The 19117-nt window shown below is 38.0% G+C and overlaps 1 long non-coding RNA gene across 1 annotated transcript in view, besides 2 other annotated features; it reads right to left on the reverse strand.

Moving 5' to 3' along the window:
* LOC107985958 (uncharacterized) overlaps nt 1–12631 on the reverse strand; it is a 42302-nt gene extending 29671 nt beyond the window's left edge. The window contains exon 1 of the long non-coding RNA XR_001739762.1: nt 12548–12631. This is a non-coding gene — a long non-coding RNA (uncharacterized LOC107985958). The remainder of the gene's footprint in view (nt 1–12547) is intronic.
* Nucleotides 10475–11055: an enhancer, noted in NCBI's record as "OCT4-NANOG hESC enhancer chr2:167465572-167466152 (GRCh37/hg19 assembly coordinates)". NCBI's record gives its function as "activates a minimal SCP1, AML or CMV promoter by ChIP-STARR-seq in primed H9 embryonic stem cells {active_cell/tissue: H9 hESC(primed)}" and the evidence as "EXISTENCE:reporter gene assay evidence [ECO:0000049][PMID:30033119]".
* Nucleotides 12130–12652: an enhancer, noted in NCBI's record as "H3K4me1 hESC enhancer chr2:167467227-167467749 (GRCh37/hg19 assembly coordinates)". NCBI's record gives its function as "activates a minimal SCP1, AML or CMV promoter by ChIP-STARR-seq in naive H9 embryonic stem cells {active_cell/tissue: H9 hESC(naive)}" and the evidence as "EXISTENCE:reporter gene assay evidence [ECO:0000049][PMID:30033119]".

A 19117-nucleotide genomic window follows, 5' to 3' on the forward strand; every position in this document is an offset into this window, starting at 1 on the left:
AATTTCAAAGTTCCACAGATCCCTAGGGAAGGGGCACAATGCTGCCAGTTTCTTTTCTAAAGCATAGCAACACTGATCTTTGCTCCAGTTCCCAGTAAGTTCCTCATCTCCGTCTGAGATCACCTCATCCTGGATTTCATTGTCCATATCGCTATCAGTGTTTTGGACAAAATTATTAAACAAGTCTCTAGGAAGTTCCAAAATTTTCCTCATTGTCTTATCTTCTTGTGAGCCCTCCAAACTGTTTTAACTTCTGCATATTACCCAGTTCCAAAGTCACTTTCATATTTTTCAGTATCCTTATAGCAATATCCAACTCCTGTTACCAATTTTCCATATTAGTCTGTTCTCACACTGCTATAAAGAAATACCTAGGACTGGGTGACTTATAAAGAAAAAAAAAGAGGTTTAATTGATTCAAAGTTTCACAGGCTATTCAGGAGTCATGGCTGGTGAGGCCTCAGAAAACTTACAATCATGGCAGAAAGGCAAAGAGAAAGCAAGCACATCTTCACATGGTGGCAGGAGAACGAGTGAAGGAGAAAGTAGTGCAGACCTTTAAACGACCAGATCTTGTGAGAACTCATTCATTATCATGAGAACAGCAAGTGAGAAATCCACCCCCATGATTCAATTGCTTTCCACCAGGCCCTCCTCCACCACATGGGAATTACAATTCAACATGAGATTTTCCTGGGGACACAGAGCCAAACCATATCACCAAGAGAATGAAGGACAAAAACCATATGATCATCTTCATTGATGATGAAAAAGCATTTGATAAAATTCATCATTTCTTCCTGATAAAAACCCTCAAAAATTAGGTTTAGAAGGAGCATACCTCAACATAATAAATTCCATATATGACAGACCCACAGCTAGTACACTAAATGGGAAAAATTGAAAGCCTTTCCTCTAAGATCTGGAACACGACAAGGATGCCCACTTTCACAAGTGCTATTCAACAGAGTACTGTAAGTCCTAGTTAGAGCAATCAGACAAGAGAAAGAAATAAAGGACATCCAAATTGGAAAGGAAGAAGTCAAATTATCCTTGTTTGCAGATGATACAATCTTACATTTGGAAAAACCTAAAGATTCCATTAAAAAACTATTAAAACTGCTAAACAAATTCAATAAAGTTGCAGGGTACAAAATCAACATCCAAAATTCAGTAGCATATTTACATGCCAACAGCAAACAATCTGAAAAAGAAATCCAGGAAGTAATCTTATTTACAATAGCCACAAATTAAACTAAATTTGCAGGAATAAACTTACACAAGAAGTGAAAGATCTCCACAATAAAAACTATAAAGCATTGATGCAAGAAATTGTAGAGGACAAAAACATGGACAGATATTTTGTGTTCCTGGATTGGAAGAAACAATATCGTTTCAATGTCTATACTACCCAAAGAAATCTATAAATTTAATGCAATCTCTACGAAAATATCAATGACCTGCTTCAAAGCACTAAAGACACAAAATAGGCAATGCTATCATGAGCAATAGAACAAAACTGGAGGAATCACATTATCTGACTTCAAATTATACTACAGAGCTACAGTAACCAAAACATTGTAATACTGGCATACAAACAGACACATTGACCAATGTAACAGAACAGAGAACCCAAAAATCAATCCATACATCTACAGTAAACTCATTTTCGTCAAGGGTGCCAAGAACATTCATCAGGGAAAGTACTGTCTCTTCAATAAATGGTGCTGGAAAACCTGGATATCCATATGCAGAAAATGAAACTAGACTTCTATCTCTCACCATATCAAAAATCAAATCAAAATGGATTAAAAACTAAAATCTAAGACATGAAACTGTTAAAAGTAAACATGGTGGAAATTCTCTAGTACATTGTCTAGGCAAAGATTTGTTGTATAATACCCCAAAAGCACATGTAACCAAAGCAAAAATGAACAACCAGGATCACACCAAGTTAAAAAGCTTCTGCACAGCAAAGGAAACATCAACAAAGTGAAGTGACAATGTACAATATGAGAGAAAATATATCCAACCTATCCATCAGACAAGGGATTAATGGCCAGTATATAGAAGGAGCTCAAACAACTCAATAGGAAAAATTCTAATAAACTTATTTAAAAATGGGCCAAATATCTGAATAGATTTTTTTTTTTGAAAAAAAAAAAAAAAGACACATAATGGGCAAACAGGCATATAAAAACCTTCTCAACACCATTGGTCATCAGAGAAATGAAATTAAAATGACAATGAAATATCATCTCACCCCAGTTAAAATGGCTTTTATCAGAAACACAGGAAATAACGTATGCTGGCAAGGATGTAAAGAAGAGGAAACCCTCAAACACTGTTGATGGGAATGTGAATTAGTACAACTACTATGGAGAACAGCATGCGGGTTCCTCAAAAAACTAAAAATAGAACCACCAGGTGATCCAACAATCTCACTCCTAGGTATATACCAAAAAGAAAGAAAATGTGTATACTGAAGAGATATCTGCATTCCCATGTTTATTGTAGCACTGTTCACAATGGCCACAATGTGGAATTAATCTAATTGTCCATCATCAGATGAATGGAAAGGAAAATGTGGAACATGTACACAATAGAGTCCTAGTCACCCATAAAAAAGAATGATATCCTGTTATTTGCATCATTGCAGCATTGTGGATGAAACTGGAGGATATAATGTTAAGTGAAATAAGACAGGGACAGAAAACAAACTTCTTATGTTCTTACTCATATTTGGGAGCTAAAAGTTAAGACAATTAAACTCATGGAGATAGAGAATAGAATGCTGGATACCAGAGGCTGGGATAGGGAGAGTGAGGGGCTTGTGGGGATGGTTAATCAGTACAAAAATATGGTTATGTAGAATAAATAAGATCTAGTATTTGATAGCACAACAGGATGACTATACTCGACAGTAACTTATAGTACACTTCAAAATAACCAAAAGATTGTAACTGGAATGTTTGTAATATAAAGAAATGATACATGCTTGAAGTAATGAATACCCCCATTTACCCTGATGTGATTATGTATTCTATGTCTGTATCAAAATATCTCATGTACCCCATAAATATATACACCTACTATGTACTCATAAAACTTAAAAATGTAATAAAAAAGTCAGTGACTTCATATTGTGAATAAAATACAATCCCAGAAAATCAATAAACATATACTAAATTAGAAAAATAAAATTTAAAATAATGTGTATATATATATGTTATATATTTTTCTACTATGCATCCAGTAGAATATCAATAGCAGTAAATAATCAGGCTAATATTAAATAGCTGTTGCTAAATGACAAATTCTGCTGATTAAAACGAAATGGGTGACTTGTTAAACAGAGGTATTAGTCAAGGTTCTCTGCAAAATCAGAACCCAGAGAGTACAGACAGATAGATATGGAGGTAACAGGAGATTTGTTATGGAATTGGCTCCTGCAATTATGGAAGCTGAGAGGTCCCGTGACACGATGTCTGTAAGCTGGAGAACCAGGAAAGCAACTGATATAATACAGTCCCAGTCCAAAGGCCTGAGAACCAGGGGACTAAAAAGTATAACTAACTCCCAGTCTGTGGGTTGGAGTTGGGGGTGCTGATATAAGTCCCACGTTCAAACCTGAAAACAGGAGCACTAATGTTGACGGCAGAAAAAGACAGATGCCCAGCTCAAGGAGAAAGAGAGAGAGTTAATTCACCATTTCTCTGCCTTTTTTTTCTATCTGGGCCCAAAACAGATTGTATAATGCCACTCACATTGGTGAGTGGGTAGCTTCTTTACTCAGTCTTCTGGTTCAAATACTGATCTCTTACAGACACACACAGAAATCATTCCTTACCAGCTATCAAGGCTTCCCTTAACCCATTGAAGTTGACACATAAAATTAACCATCATAAATTTACCCCTTGTCAATTTGACACCTTATGCATCGCCTTGAACCTTAATTAATCCCCAAATAAAAAATAATGAATGATTACATCTAACATGATACAACTGTCCTGCCTACAACCAGAAATACACTAATTCCTTCTCCAGAATAGGAGGTAAAGTTCTTCAGTGATCTTTACTCTTTCCATGATATGCCATAACAAATACAATGTAAAATTGACAGTAGTTAATATTGATCTAAAGATAATACATCTTATGTTACATAAGGGAATGAGAGAAAATAAAAGTATTTGCTCAATATATGTATATGCACACATACTTGTAACAAGGAGGAAATACTCATGACAATTACAATTTTCATTATTGTAACTAGTTTTGTGGTCTTGTATTTGTGATTATCTTCTACTTCCCATTCTGTATTCCCTTTGCCTTCAGCAAGAACCTCTGCTGGTTGTGGCTTTTGACTTTGTGGAGTAAAATCTTCATTCCTGAATCTGGGTATTTGTAGTCCCACCAGGATTGGGTTGTTGTAGTGTTCCACTAACATTAATTTACAGGGCATGATAACACTAAGTGATGCACTAAGCCATCACCTATATTTCAGACATACTCATCCTTACCTCCATTGTAGAGTGGCAGTCCAGTTTTCTCTTAGTAGTCTGGATCACTCAATCCAGCCAATATATGTAACTCCCTTACTGGCCTGTTGACTCAGAGCATAAGGACCGCAAGAGGCCATGTGGCAGTCTTAACTTCTAGTTCAGTGGAATCATTTTTTGTGTCTCCTGATAGAAGTACTTCTCCCTAGAGAACTAAAACTTCTAGGCCAGTGGAGCATAAAGTGATAGGACAAGGAAGCAAAATATTTGCTAGTGGATTACTAGGGCTAACGATTATGGTACCTCTTCCATTTTCACTTCTTGATTCCAGAACCAATGAATCCTTGCTATCAGAGAAACAAATATATTGGATGCTGATTAAAAACATACACAGCCTTCTAGAGAATCTTTCTGCAGGGCTGCAGGTATTGTGACCTAGCTGACACTGGAATTGAATATCCAAAAGGCCATTTCTTCATTCCATCAGGACAGCTGCTTCAGGGTGAGAAACATGGTAACTAGGGAATTTCATGAGCATAGACTAATTACTGCTTTTCTTTGGCTGCAAAGTGAGTTCCTTGGTCAGAAGCGACGTTATGTAGAATACCACGATGATGGATAAGGTATTCTGTAAGTCCTCCAATGGTAGTTTTGGTAGAAGCACCGGGTGGAGGAAAGATAAATCCATATCCAGAGTGTCCATGGCAGTAAAGACAAAACGTTGCCTCTTCCATGATGGAAGTAGTCCAGTGTAATCAACCTGACATGAGATAGCTAGCTGATCACCTTAGAGAATGGTGCCATATTGGAGGCGCTGATCACCTTAGAGAATGGTGCCATATTGGAGGCACCATGTTGGTATCTGCTGCTGGCAGATTGGGCACTCTTTGGTGGTGGTAGCTAGGTTATTTCCTTCGTGAGTGAAAGTCCATGTTGCTGAGCTTATGTATAACCTCCATGCCTGCCACCATTTCCACTTTGCTCATGAGCATATTGGGCATTACTCAGTCTACTGATTCAAAGGGTGATCTCCTCTGGAAATACCCAGAAATGATATTTTATCAACTATCTGGGAATCTCTTAGTCCAGTCAAGATGACATACAAAATTAATCATCACAATAGATTTTTTCAAGTCTCACTATGGATCTATTAAGTTATAATTAATGAAATTAAATACTCAAGGGTTTACATGTTTATAACGCTCCCAAGTGAAGCATCCAGATTTGCATATGACATTGGTATGTTGATCCATTGAGTGAGTAGTGGAATAATACTGAGGCAGTTAACAGTAAACATCATAATAAAGTCATAAATTTTTTTTTGAGACAAAGTCTCATTTTGTCACCCAGGCTGGAGTGCAGTGGTATGATCTCAGCTCACTGCAGCCTCCACCTCCCAGGTTCAAGCGATTCTCATGCCTCAGCCTTCTGAGTAGCTAGAATTACAGGTGTGTACCACCACACCCGGTTAATTTTTGTATTTTTACTAGAGATGGTGTTTCACCATGTTGGCCAGGCTGGTCTTGAACTCCTGACCTCAAGTGATCTGCCCACCTCGGCCTCCCAAAGTGTTGGGATTACAGGCATGAGCTACCACGCCCAGCCAAATATTTTCTTACAACAGAGATTGAGAAAAAATTTACACACACAAAACACAAATGAAAATTAAACAAAATGAAAACCAAACACAACTTTGTCCCTTATTTTGAATTTTTTTGGTCCATATTTGCTTTCAGTCTTCACTAATCTACTATCTTTTTTGTTGGCAAGGACTTTGTCTTATTCTCATTTCTTCATACACTTCCCTATGTAACAAATCTCTTATTCACCAGTACAGAGGAGACTACTTTGTATTTTAGTATTTCAATAAGCAGATATTTTACTTTTAAATTCACGGTCAAGTTTCTGTGGTGCACAGATTGATGTATTATGAAGACAATAAAGGACTGTCTCATAATGAACAATATATCAATAGCCTGTGACATCTAGATCAGTAATTCAAATTAATGCCAAAATAGACCATGATATATTGGTTTTCCAACAGTACTTTATCTTATTAATAGGAATTTAACTGTGCAGTGTAGATAATGGTTAGAACCCTTTGAGCTCTCAAATTCAAGTGACTTGTATACATAAAATCCATGGCAACACCTGGGATTGAAAAACAAAATTATGTTACCTTTTTTTTTTTTTTTTTGCGACAAAAGGATCTGTTTAGGAAACAGCAACATAAGTAGTAAAAAGCTATTAGAAATTTTCTTTAGTTGAAGTGATAACATTTCTCCTTTCAAGTTTTGAGATATAAAAGTGCAAAGTTCAATTTCTAGCAGAAATTAATTTTTCACATGCTGGCATCAAGAATACACGTCGTCTTGATAACTGTCTGTGATTAGAGGGAAAGCCACAAGACAAAGGCAAGCTCTAGAATAATTTAAAAGACCTACTCTCTGATCTTTCAGATACTTGAGAGAAAAAAAATAGAAAGTAATACTTGTTTGGGAAAACTTGTCATATTTAGAAAAATTACTTTCAGTCTACCATTTATATACCCTCAGGAACAATTAATATAAAACTAGCTTAAACAAAAAACTTGATATTTACTGTAGACTAAAATAAATCACAGTAAATCCAGTATCTCTCACTCCTTTCCTAGTAACTTTTTCGGCTCTTGCTCTTTTCATGTGTTGGTTTCATCCTGAGATTGTTATGTTTGCAGAACCAATTCCAGGATTCACATCAATTCATGGTAATCACCTAGAACAGACTAAGTGTCACTTAAATTATTTTTAGAAGATAACAGATTAATTGTGGCATGAATTCCCAGTAAACGTCTCCTCATATCTCATTGTTTCAAAGTGGGTCACATGATTCTTAAACCAGTCACTACAAGGGAAGGTGGGGTTATTATTTCAATCAGGTCCAACCTAGCATTTGGAGGTGAGGTCAGCTTTTCCTGACCCACAGGGGAATATAGGAAGAGTGGATACCCATACAAAGAAAAAAAGCAAAGCAGGAGGAAGAGAAACTTCGCTAGAAATAAAATGAAAGGCAGGAATAGATACATCAGTAATACACACTGTAACCATATGTGTATATATATTTTAATGCAAACCTCTAAACAAAACATCTTTATATTCTTGATGAAAACAAATCAATATATAATTAGTTGAGAACTGAGCCTTGTTGATCAAGTTTCAACTTATATTGGGTTGCTACAGACAAAAATTTTATTCCCTTTACAGAATTAGATCACTATAAAGGTAACAAAATTTTGTATTATTACAAAGAAAATGGAAAGATGGCTGAAAAGTTAATTAAGCTAGTATATAAAGTGATTAACTGAAATATGATTCCTTATATGTGTTCTTCACATATAATGAAGCTCCACTTAGCTCTCCAAAGATTAAGTGTATATGCATCCATGTTCATTCTCAATCCACTTCCATTCTGCAGTGAAGATGAAAATCTTTCATCTTACAGATTTGACTTTTCTGTCTCCAATCCATTAATATATCAAAAGACCATCTATTTTAGCAAGTAAGATTTAGAATACAAGATGAATGCTTCATGTAAGTAATATGTTGTGTTTAGACCCAACTTATAGTGTCTAAAGGCATATTTGGTTAAAAAGAGACATTATTTGGGCTCATAAACTCCAACTCCCCTCACATCCAACTGAGCACACCACATATTTTCCATTTGATCTGAAGAGAGCACAGGCATTTCAGCCATGAACTCCCAGTTAAGCACAGAATATGATAATTTGTAATGGGATATGTGATGTAATCTTGCCCTCTAGTGCCTTCTATGCCTAGATGGCAGTTTCATGATCACCTATGACAAAGAAAAAAAAAAAGGAAATTGTAATTCTATTTTTTTAAACTCTTTCCTAAATTAATTTGAAAACTTTCTCTAGTACTAATACTGCCAGAGTTTTGACAATAGGCAGTCCCGGACTCACCTCTCATAATACTATTTGTTACATGTTTCTTGCCGATTTGTTACAACCACCTAATGTGTGAAGGCAGTAGCCATTTTGAATATTCAAAAATTGGTCACTTACTTTGGGAGACTAAATGTGACACAAATTGTGTCTTCCTACATTCTTTAAGAATATAGTCCCATGAGAAATGGAAGCTTGAAAAATTTAGTCCCTGGTGAGGCAGTCCCTTCCTAGCAACCAGCCTATTCTATGAAGAGAGACCACAAATTCTTGGTGAACAGAATATCTTGGGCAAAAATCAGTGTTATTAACTAGAGAGATCGGTTTAGTAATCGTTCCAGAAAACAATAAAGAGCCAACAATTCATCTTGGAAAATGATTCATGACGTTGCATGAACTTGGACACTTCCATTTTTATTGCAAGCCAAAGAAAAAAAGGATTCTGTTGAAATCTATTCTACCGAGAACCTACTTAAAAACAAAAACCTCAGACTTCTTGCCATGCTGGCCGAAAGTGGTCCAGTGAACCCTTCTAAAAATAATTATAAAAATTGAAAAAATATTTTAAACTGTTTGAAACAAGACATTTAAAAAGGAGACAGATACAATAGGAAAGGTTGCCTTTGAAAGATGACTATGATAAAGAATTATATGTATATGGCTTTTTTTTTTGGTCTGAGGATGGTCCCCACCTATCAGCTCCAGTAGCAAAAAGTCATAGCCTTACCAGTTCAAGGTAACATTGGACAAAGTTCAAAGTTAACAGCTTCAAAAATTAAATTCAAAAGTTAAATCTGGAGATGTAGGTGGAAAATCATGGGAACAATGGAGCCACATAAAGGCCAACCTTCTAGATCTCATAAACTACATTTGCACTGGAGTTGTGACAGTTACTATTTATTGCCTGTTAGCTTCAAGTTCATTCTTCATTGCCTGCTCTGCAAAAAATGCACATGGGCCCTATAAATATTATTTTTCTGTTGTTGGCTGACAGTGAGCATTGTTATTAGAGGGTGTTGAAGAGACATTGTAAGAGGTTAGGAGATGGGCTTCTTGGTTCTGGTGTGCTCTCTGGGTAGGCTCTTGCAGCTTAGCCTCTGCAGCTCATTCTCCTGGGAGATCGGTTTAGTAATCGTTCCAGTAGAAAATAAAGAGGCAACAATTCATCTTGGAAAATGATTTATGCATGGCTTCTCTAGCACCTATCTCCTGCAGTGTACAGCACCCAGCATTTACCTGAGCACTTCCCTTGGGCAGTTTTGTAGTAGAGTGTTTGCAGTGAAACATCTCCCCTTGAACAACTTTCTCTGGTGTTCTACAGGATGGATGTCCAGCAAGTTCTACCTACAGAGCATCAAAGTGACTATTCTGCCATCCAACCAGCCATAGCCACGTCCTCTCTAGCATGGCCTGGGCCTCAGCCCTGGAACCTCTTTCTTAGACGTGGGGGCACTTGGGCTGTTAATATATGCCTTCTAGTTGAAGTTTGCCTACTTCTGCCCCAAAAACCTGTAATGTTTTTTACACATTCTGTCTTTAGGAAAGTGAAACAAGTTGGAATAATGTATAGGAAGCTGATGCTGAGGAGCTTGTAATGCAAGTTTTCAGGGGATCTTTGAAACGTTAGAATGCTACGAGATGTTTTTAAAAGAAAGCATGTAGGTCAAGTCACAGACTGTTCGTTAAAATGGAAAGATTTTAGAAGCAGCCATACAAGGGAGGGAGTTCTTAATTTACATCTTTTTCTTATCTTTTACAGATGATACCTAAAATAAAATTTTAGAATTTGATTTCCTGTGAAACAGTTTGTAATAAATGGTATATTCTCTGTATTTTAACTAATAAGGCTATGATGATACTTGATTAGTTATTTAGTCTGATTAGATTCAACTGCCTTTAGTAAAATCCATTAAAAGTGCTCACCTCATCTCCAGCACAATGGGAGCAATGTTGGAGTTCAGCTAGTGTTGAGGGTAGGACTGGAAGTAGGAGTAAGATACACGTGAGTGACCTTACCGACCTCTCTGTAACAGGTGAGATTCCTATTCAAATCTGCGGAAAAAATTTGCCTGTCCAACAGAGAAACCTGTTGGCATTCACTCAGGATGGTGGCAGAAATATTAAAGGGAAATATTAGGGAAAGTTATAGGGAATAGTCACAAACCTTTTTGGAAGGCCAAAAGGTTGCATAACCTGTAATAATTGAACAGGCTGAAGGCAGCCAGTTCTTACCTTAGAGCTTAGGTCATAGGGTAAATACTAGAGACAATAGCCGCTTCCCCAGTTCTGTTTACCCTACCTCCATTAACTAACCTTTCAGCCTGATAGCCCTCTCAGGGTTGGGGGGAGGTCGACTGCGGATATTGCCCCCTAATGGTATTTACTTTAAACTGCGGTACCTGAGCTTTAATCATTCGTAGAACTACTCTCTTAACCATGTTAATTATCCTCAATGTGTTGACTCAGAGCTTCTGTTAATTGTATACTAAATAAATGCCTGGAGTGCGAGCTGCTCAGGGCCGGCCACAGTGACAAACTTCTCTTGGTGTACAGGCAGGCGGACACTCGGCAGGACTGGCAAAGCAGACTATCTGTGTCAGTGTACGTTTCATTCATCCATCGTTTAGGTCAGGGTCTGCGGGTAGACACCCGCAGCTAATGCCCTCTCGTGAGGAGCAATACCTCAACTGGTGCCCCGTGTGAGGCCAGTCAGGGGTCTGCAGAAACAGATTCCCCGCAATTGGAGCCCCTCGTGAGGCAAGCTACAAAGGAAGTGTGAGGAACACCCTCGTGAGGAAAGCTGCGAAGGAAGCGTGCAGGAAACACGATGGACCCCCGGAAAACGAAGGTGAAGAAAGGAACGTGGTCAAGTCAGTGAGTAATCAGTAATGTCAGTGGTGCCCACTAGAGGTTACTAAGTTCTGGGGGAAGTTAGGTCAAGCTGAGTTTTCATCATGGGACAACAGTTATCAGCACAACAGAAACAGTATATAACAGTATTAAAACAATTGTCTAAGGCTAGCGGAGCCTGTTTCGCAGACTCAATTAAAGGACCTAATCATCCATGCTAAACAAACTGCTGTAATGCGAACTGTTAAATCCCAAAGCCCATCGTTTCCGGAAAGAATGTTAGATGTAGAACTCTGGGAACAAGTAGGGAGAAACCGTAACATCAGGCGCAAAGGCGACAGGTCCCAGTAACAGTTTTAACGTTATGGACTTTAAGTAGAGCTGCCGTGGCTCAGTTACACACAGAAGAGCCTAAAAAAGAGGAAGGAGAAAATTGTCACCTGCCTTATCACCTCCTCTTCCCTGGCCCCTAATATCACCAGGCTAACATAAAAAAGAGGAAACGGAGGTTTTTACCTGAGCTGCCTCCTCCGATAGATGAGAAAAAAGAGGATACGCTACAGCAATCAGTTCCTGTCTTAAGCAGGCAGCATTAAAAGGAGAGCTCTTAACCTGCCCAGTAATGCAAGATTGGCAAAGCAGTCAGGTACATAAAGATATAAGAAAAAGCATTAGAGGCCGGAGCCTTGCGGCCAGGCAGGCAGTAGATGGAAGGAAAGACTCAGCAGCAAGGAAGCTTGCAAACACAGAGCTGGTAAATGCCCCGGGGAACTTGGCCTGCGCGGCGGCAGTAGCAATGGGGAGGCAGGCCCAGCGCCACGGAGTTAGCCTACTGTGGAGAAGCAGAAGTGTGCGCGCCAGAGTCCGCCCAGCCGGCAACAGCTCCCCTTAGGCAGGGGGAGGGGGCAGCACACGCGAAAGAAGCGGCACAAGTGTGACAACCCCCGCCCCGGGACCCACCTGCTCAGCTCTGTAGCTCTGCAGGCGGCCCACAGCAAAATCTCATGTGCTCCTTGTTTACTAACGACATCCGTGATTATAATTCTCTGCTAAGATTTAAGTAAAATGTAAGAAGTAAAATAAAAGAAAAACCTCTTTTCTAATGGCTTCTGTTGTTCTCCCTCCCCTACCCCTGACGTAGCTCTCCAAATCCAATTTAAGTAAAACAGTAACCTCTGAAGGGAGAGATATTACAGAGGGCCATGAATTAGTTAGAAAGTAATATAAAAGCTAGGCATGTAAAACCACACATTACCCTTTAAAGGAGAAGTTTAAGCCTAATCAAGTTGTGTCCGGAATTGGTGGGTTCTTGCTCTCACTGACTTCAAGAATGAAGCTGCAGACTCTCGCAGTGAGTGTTACAGTTCTTAAAGGTGGTGCGTCTGGAGTTTGTTCCTTCTGATGTTCAGACATGTTCGGAGTTTCTTCCTTCTGGTGGGTTCGTGGTCTCGCTGGCTTCAGGAGTGAGGCTGCGGACCTTCGAGGTGAGTGTTACAGCTCATAAAGGCAGTGCGGACCCAAAGAGTGAGCAGCAGCAAGACTTAGTGCAAAGAGCTAAAGAACAAACCTTTCAAGGTGTGGAAGGAGACCCAAGCAGGTTGCCACTGCTGGCTGGGGCAGCCTGCTTTTATTCCCTTATCTGGCCCCATCCACATCCTGCTGATTGGTTCATTTTACAGAGAGCTGATTGGTCTGTTTTACAGAGAGTGGATTGGTCCGTTTTGACAGGGTGCTGATTGGTGCATTTACAATCCCCGAGCTAGACACAAAAGTTCTCTAAATCCCCACTAGATTAGCTAGACACAGAGCACTGATTGGTGCATTTACAAACCTTGAGCTAGACACAGGGTGCTGATTGGTGCATTCACAAACCTTGAGCTAGACACAGAGTGCTGATTGGTGTATTCACAATCCCTGTGGTAGACATAAAGGTTCTCCAAGTCCCCACTAGATTAGCTAGACACAGAGCACTGATTGGTGCATTTACAAACCTTGAGCTAGACACAGGGTGTACGCTGTCACCTCTCAAAATGATATATGTTAAATTAGAAGGTAAAAATGCTGTGCCCTTCTCAGAAAGTGAAGAAAAGTTTTATGTAAGTGTAGTGAAAACATATGCATGAATGACTGTCTTAACCCACTGATTACAGATAGTCTTTGATTTGTACTTGCTAAAAGAGTCCTGAATTGAGTTCCCCAGCTAGTGAGTCCCTGTTTTCAAGACTGTTTGCCACATTAGAGTCCATAAACTTGGTCAGCCTGAAAACTCGATTACAAGATGTAAGCTATTCTGCCTGTGGCTTTAAGCACATGGTTAAAATATATTTAAGTCTCTGCTTCTAGAAATGCTTTCAGATTTTCTTTTTAAACTTCATGTTACTTATTTCAGCTTGCCAGCTTAGTGATTAATGCGGTAAATTGCTAAGTTATGACCCTGATATCACCAGGATTCATTTAAGTAAAAGGCAATTCGAAGCGGTATTGCACTCCCCCATACCTAATGCTTTAACGCTGTTTAATGATGGGTCTGGTAAACATGGACAAGCGGCAGTTTGGTAGAGACCACATAATCCAGTCACTCAATCTAAGTTTACTATCACTCAGAGCTGAGATTACTCTGTATTTTATTAAAGCACTTTTACAGCCTCAATTAAGTTCGCTCTGGAGCCCACTCTGTGTGCTCTTTTTCTCCAGCCTCAGCAATTGCTAGACCAATGTACACATCTTATTTTTATTACACACATTGGAGCCCACAGCTCACTGCCTGGCCCATTGGCTTATAGCAATGATGATCAAGCAGACCTTCAAGTTATGACATTACTACTTGACTAAGCCACTCAATCGCATCTGTTTTTCCACCAAAATTGAAAAAACTTATCTAAACAACTTCAACTTACCCAGAGGCTGGCTAAACAAATTATCTACAATATCCAGATTGCCAGCTCACAGGCACATCCCCTCCTTCAACAAGTGTTAACCCTAGAGGATTGGAACCCAATCAGTTATGGCAAACAGATATTACACACATCCCTGAATTTGGAAAACTAAGATATGTGCATGTATCCATTGATACCAACACTCATTTAATTAATGCACATGCTTTGCCTGGAAAGTCTACTCAATATGTCATTAAACATCTTCTTTTAACTTTTGCATTTATAGGACAGCCCACAAAAATTAAGACTGATAATGGTCCAGCTTATACCAGCTCACTTTCAACAATTTTGTCACATGTGGAATATCGAACATTCCACAGGCATCCCGTATAAGCCCAAGGACAGGCAATAGTAGAAGGAGCACAGTTCACCCTTAAAAATTTGCTCAAAAAACAGAAAAAAAAAAAAAAAAGGAATATAGGTAAGGACCCTGCAACACTACTGGCACAAGCCTTATTTACCCTTTTTTTTTTTAATTTAGATGACAAATTTCAATCAGCTGTAGAAAAGCGCTTTGCTAAAACCTCTCAAGGCATAAAACCTGCAGTTGTATGGAAAGATGTGAACAATAATAAATGGTGTGGTCCAAGTGAATGATTAACATGAGGAAGAAAGTATGCTTGTGTCCATACCTAGAGAGAGAAATAAAGGGAAAGAATGAGTAAGACTAGAAAAATACAGATCAGAAAGTGATGCAAAAAGAAAGACTTAAGGAAAGAAACTAGGAAGAAGGGAAAGGAAATATTAAGCAAGTTATAAATATATAGGAATGTACCTTTAGTAATGAAGATTATGAAACACAGCCAGAAAGTTAAGGCATGTTGAAGATTGTCTGTGAAAGTCATGAAGAAATTTAGGCAGGAAATGTATAATTTTTGTTTTGAAGGTCTAAAGTTTTAAAATGTTAATTATGAAAAAATTCTATGTGTAAACATATTGGCTACGGTTAAAAAGGTATCATTCAGGTTTTCTGTAAACTAAACATTAAAATAAAGCACAACAAGTCTTTCTTAAAGCACTAACCTGCTCTTTAAAGATTGTAAAAATCTTAGCACAGGCACCACCTCTAGAATTTCGAGCACCAGCCTGGAGACTATGTCCTCATCAAAGGAAGGAAAGAAGAAAAAACTCAAGCCAGCCTAAGAAAAACCCTACAGGACCCACAGCCTCAACAATGTGGCTTCCATGAACAACACAGACCCCAGACATTATGCTGAAGAAGCCGAAGGCTAAGCCAAATAATTTATTCATTTTTAATTCTCTCGTTTTGCCTACTACCTATACCTGCTACACTCTATTAAGCTCGTCTCTTAAATCTGTCCTTTTCAGCCCTGTTACTTAAGCAAACACTCTCTTTCCAGCTTCTAGTAAGTAACTGCTTGGCTGGAAGGAGTTAACATACCCCCAGTAGGGTTCCTTAGTAACAGCACTCATCAAACTGAAGTGTCAAGTAACACTACAGCTCACTCTTTGACTAGAAAAGAATGTTGCTGATTGTACTCATAATTGTCTTATGTTATTTGCTAATTCTAGGATGGAAAGCTGGAATAAGAGCAGTGACCACCTCACCTGACAAACGTGTGGCTGCACATATCTGCACTCTGCAATTAAAAAAACTTAATACGGAAAACAAAAGGGAGTTGTTGGGATTCACTCAGGATGGTGGCAGAAATATTGAAGGGAAATATTAGGGAAAGTTATTATTATTAGGGAATAGTCACAAATCTTTTTGGAAGGTGGAAAGTTTACATAGCTTGTAATAATTGAACAGGCTGAAGGCAGCCAGTTCTTACCTTAGAGCATTAGGTCACAGGGTAAATACTAGGGACAATAGAGGCTTCCCCAGTTAAGTCTGTGTACCCTACCTCCATTAACTATCCTTTGAGCTAGATGGCCCTCTGAGGGGTTGAGGGGAGGTCAACCAGGGATATTGCCCCCTAATGGTATTTACTTTAGACCATGGTACCTGAGCTGTAATCATTCCTAGAACTCTCTTAACCATGTTAATTATCCTCAAGTGTGTTGACTCAGAGCTTCTGTTGTTAATTGTATACTAAATAAATGACTGGAGTGTGAGCTGCTCAGGGCCCGCTGCAGTGACAAACCTCTCTTTGTGTGCAGGCAGTCGGACACTTAGCTGGACTGGCAAAGCAGAATATCTGTGGTTCAGTGTGTTTTATTCATCCGTCATTTAGGTCAGGGTCTGTGGGCAGGCCCCCGCAGCTAATGTCCTCTTATGAGGTGCAATACCTCAGAAACCCATGAAACAGAAATCTATGCATCCTCATGGCTGTTAAGTTTCTTGGGAAGAGTTTTCAGGAGATGGTAATAGAAGCCATTATAGCTAATTTTATCCAAATGTACCTTTCCTCTTTTTATTTTCTCTGCAGCCAAGATGTGTGGAAACCTCGGGATAGGAGATTGTCCAATCTGAATGCAAGTTACCTTTCTTCTATATAGCTATTTAAGTCACTTAATAAAACACTGTTTTAAGTTCCAGGATACATGTGCAGTTTATGCAGGTTTGTACATAGGTAAAGGTATACCATCACGGTTTGCTGCACCTATCAACCCATCACCTAGATATTAAGTTCTTCATGAATCAACTATTTATTTTGATGCTCTCCCTTTCCCCAACCCCACAACAGGCCCCAGTGTGTGTTGTTCCCCTCCCTGTGTCCATGTGTTCTCATTGTTCAGCTCGCACTTATAAGTGAGAACATGTGGTGTTTGGTTTTCTTTTCCTGTGTTAGTTTGCTGGGAATAATGGCTTCCAGCTCCATCCATGTCCCTGGAAAGAACATGATCTCATTCCTTTATATGGCTGCATGCTATACAGTTTTTTTTTTTTTTTAAAAGAATGCTATTTGAAGATCTGATCTGTAGACAGTTTTAGGATCAAATTATAACAAATTTTATTTTTAACTCTAAAAGTTCTAATTTTTAATTGATTTATCAAATATGTCAAAGCTTTAGGAAAAAACATTGTCTTGTGTTACTAATGGGTTTTATAATAATCAGCTAAATTATATTTCATTAGAAAAAGACCATGTATACTGGCATTCAACAAATAAGTAAACGTATGGTTGATAACAGCCAGGTTGGTCACTCTTGGAAAGGGAGAGTTCCAGGCTAAAGTTAATCATGTGTTACTGGGTTATGGTCAGAGACATCAGTATATGCTGATGCTTAATTTAGTATAGATGAATATTTACAGAAATAATTACACATATGTGTTTTTTATTGCCTCTTTCTGTTTGCCCAGGGTGTCTTGGAGCAAGCATAGCACAGTAGGAGTGAGCACACTCAGTACCCAGATCTTGGCTTCTAATACCATTCTCTTAAAAAAAAATCATCTTTTTGAAGAAATGATTAATTCAGAAATGGGATAGGGAAAATGCAAGATAAAACTGGAGCACCTTATAGTGCCAGAAAGTAAGGGAGTACTCAAAAAAATAATAATAAATAAATAAAAAGTTTAGGGCATAAAAATAGGACTCAGGAAAGCTCACAATGGTCAATGCTGGAACAATTTAAGCAACAAAATAAATAACAGTATATCATGCTGTTGTTGAATAAATATACTATACATGTTAATCAGATCCATTAGATTGATAGTGATGTTCAGTTTAATTATAGTTGCTGATTTTCTGCCTGCTGGATCTATTACTGATACAAAGGTGTATATTTCCAACTATAAGAGTGGATTTGCCCGTCTCCTTTAAATTATGTCAATTATTGTATAGTGTATCTTAGTGCTCTGTTGTGTTACACACATAGATTACTATTCCTCAAAATATTGATCCTTTCATCATCATATACTGTATCTTTTATCCTAGGTAATTTTTCTTGTTCCAAAGACTTCTTTGGATGAAATAAATATAACTACTCCAATTTCCTTCCTGGCATTCTCTGTATTTAATTGGGCATTTTATGTGAATTTATCTTCTCTCCTCTTAGCATATAAATAAGTGTCTTTGAAATATTATTTTAGTGGTTGCCCAAAAGTTTGCAATATATATTTAAGACTAATATTTAATACATCCACTTTCAAATAATGCTATACTACTTCACAGTAGTGCAAGTACCTTAAAACCAAGTATTCTCAAGTTATTTTCTGCCGTTCTTTATAATATTGCTGTCATTCATTTTACTTTTTCTTGAGCTATAATCAGAATAGATTTTTGCCATTTTTATTTGAACAGTTATTTATATAGCAAAGCAATTAAGAATAAGAAAAACTAAAGATTTTATTTTACCTTGATTTATTTTTTCTCTGACACTTCATCATTCTCAATGTAGATCTGAGTTTCTGACCTATATCATTTTATTCACTGGATAAATAATTCTAGGATGGTATTTTTTGTTGTTCTTTCAATAATTTAAATATTTTACTCCACTTCTTTGCTTTTAGTTTCTGAAGACAAGTCTCCTGTAATTCTCATCCTTATTCCTTTACAAGTAAGATTATTTTAAAAGCTCCAGGGTTTTTTCAAGAATTCCTCTTTGTCTTTATTTTCCTGTAGTTTGAATATGATATTCTCAGTGTATAACTTTGCATTTATTCTGCTTTGTATTTTCTGTGGTTTCTGCATTTGTGGTTTGGTGTCTGTCATTAATTTTGGACAATTGCCAGCCATATTGCTTCAAATATTTCTTCTGTTCCTTTCTATCTTCTCCTTTGATTATTTCCATTAGGCATATATTAGACCTTTGAAATTGTTTCACAGTTCCTGTGTATTCTATGCCTGGTTGTATTGGTATTCTTTTTCTCTTTGCATATCAGTTTTGAAAGTTTCTTTTGACATACCTTCAAGCTCACTGATTCTTCCTCAGTCATGTCCGGAAGACTGGTGAGCCTGTCAAATGTCTTTAACTCCGTTATGGTG

The sequence above is a fragment of the Homo sapiens genome, chromosome 2, assembly GCF_000001405.40.
Source record: "Homo sapiens chromosome 2, GRCh38.p14 Primary Assembly".
NCBI classification, from domain to species: Eukaryota; Metazoa; Chordata; class Mammalia; order Primates; family Hominidae; genus Homo; species Homo sapiens.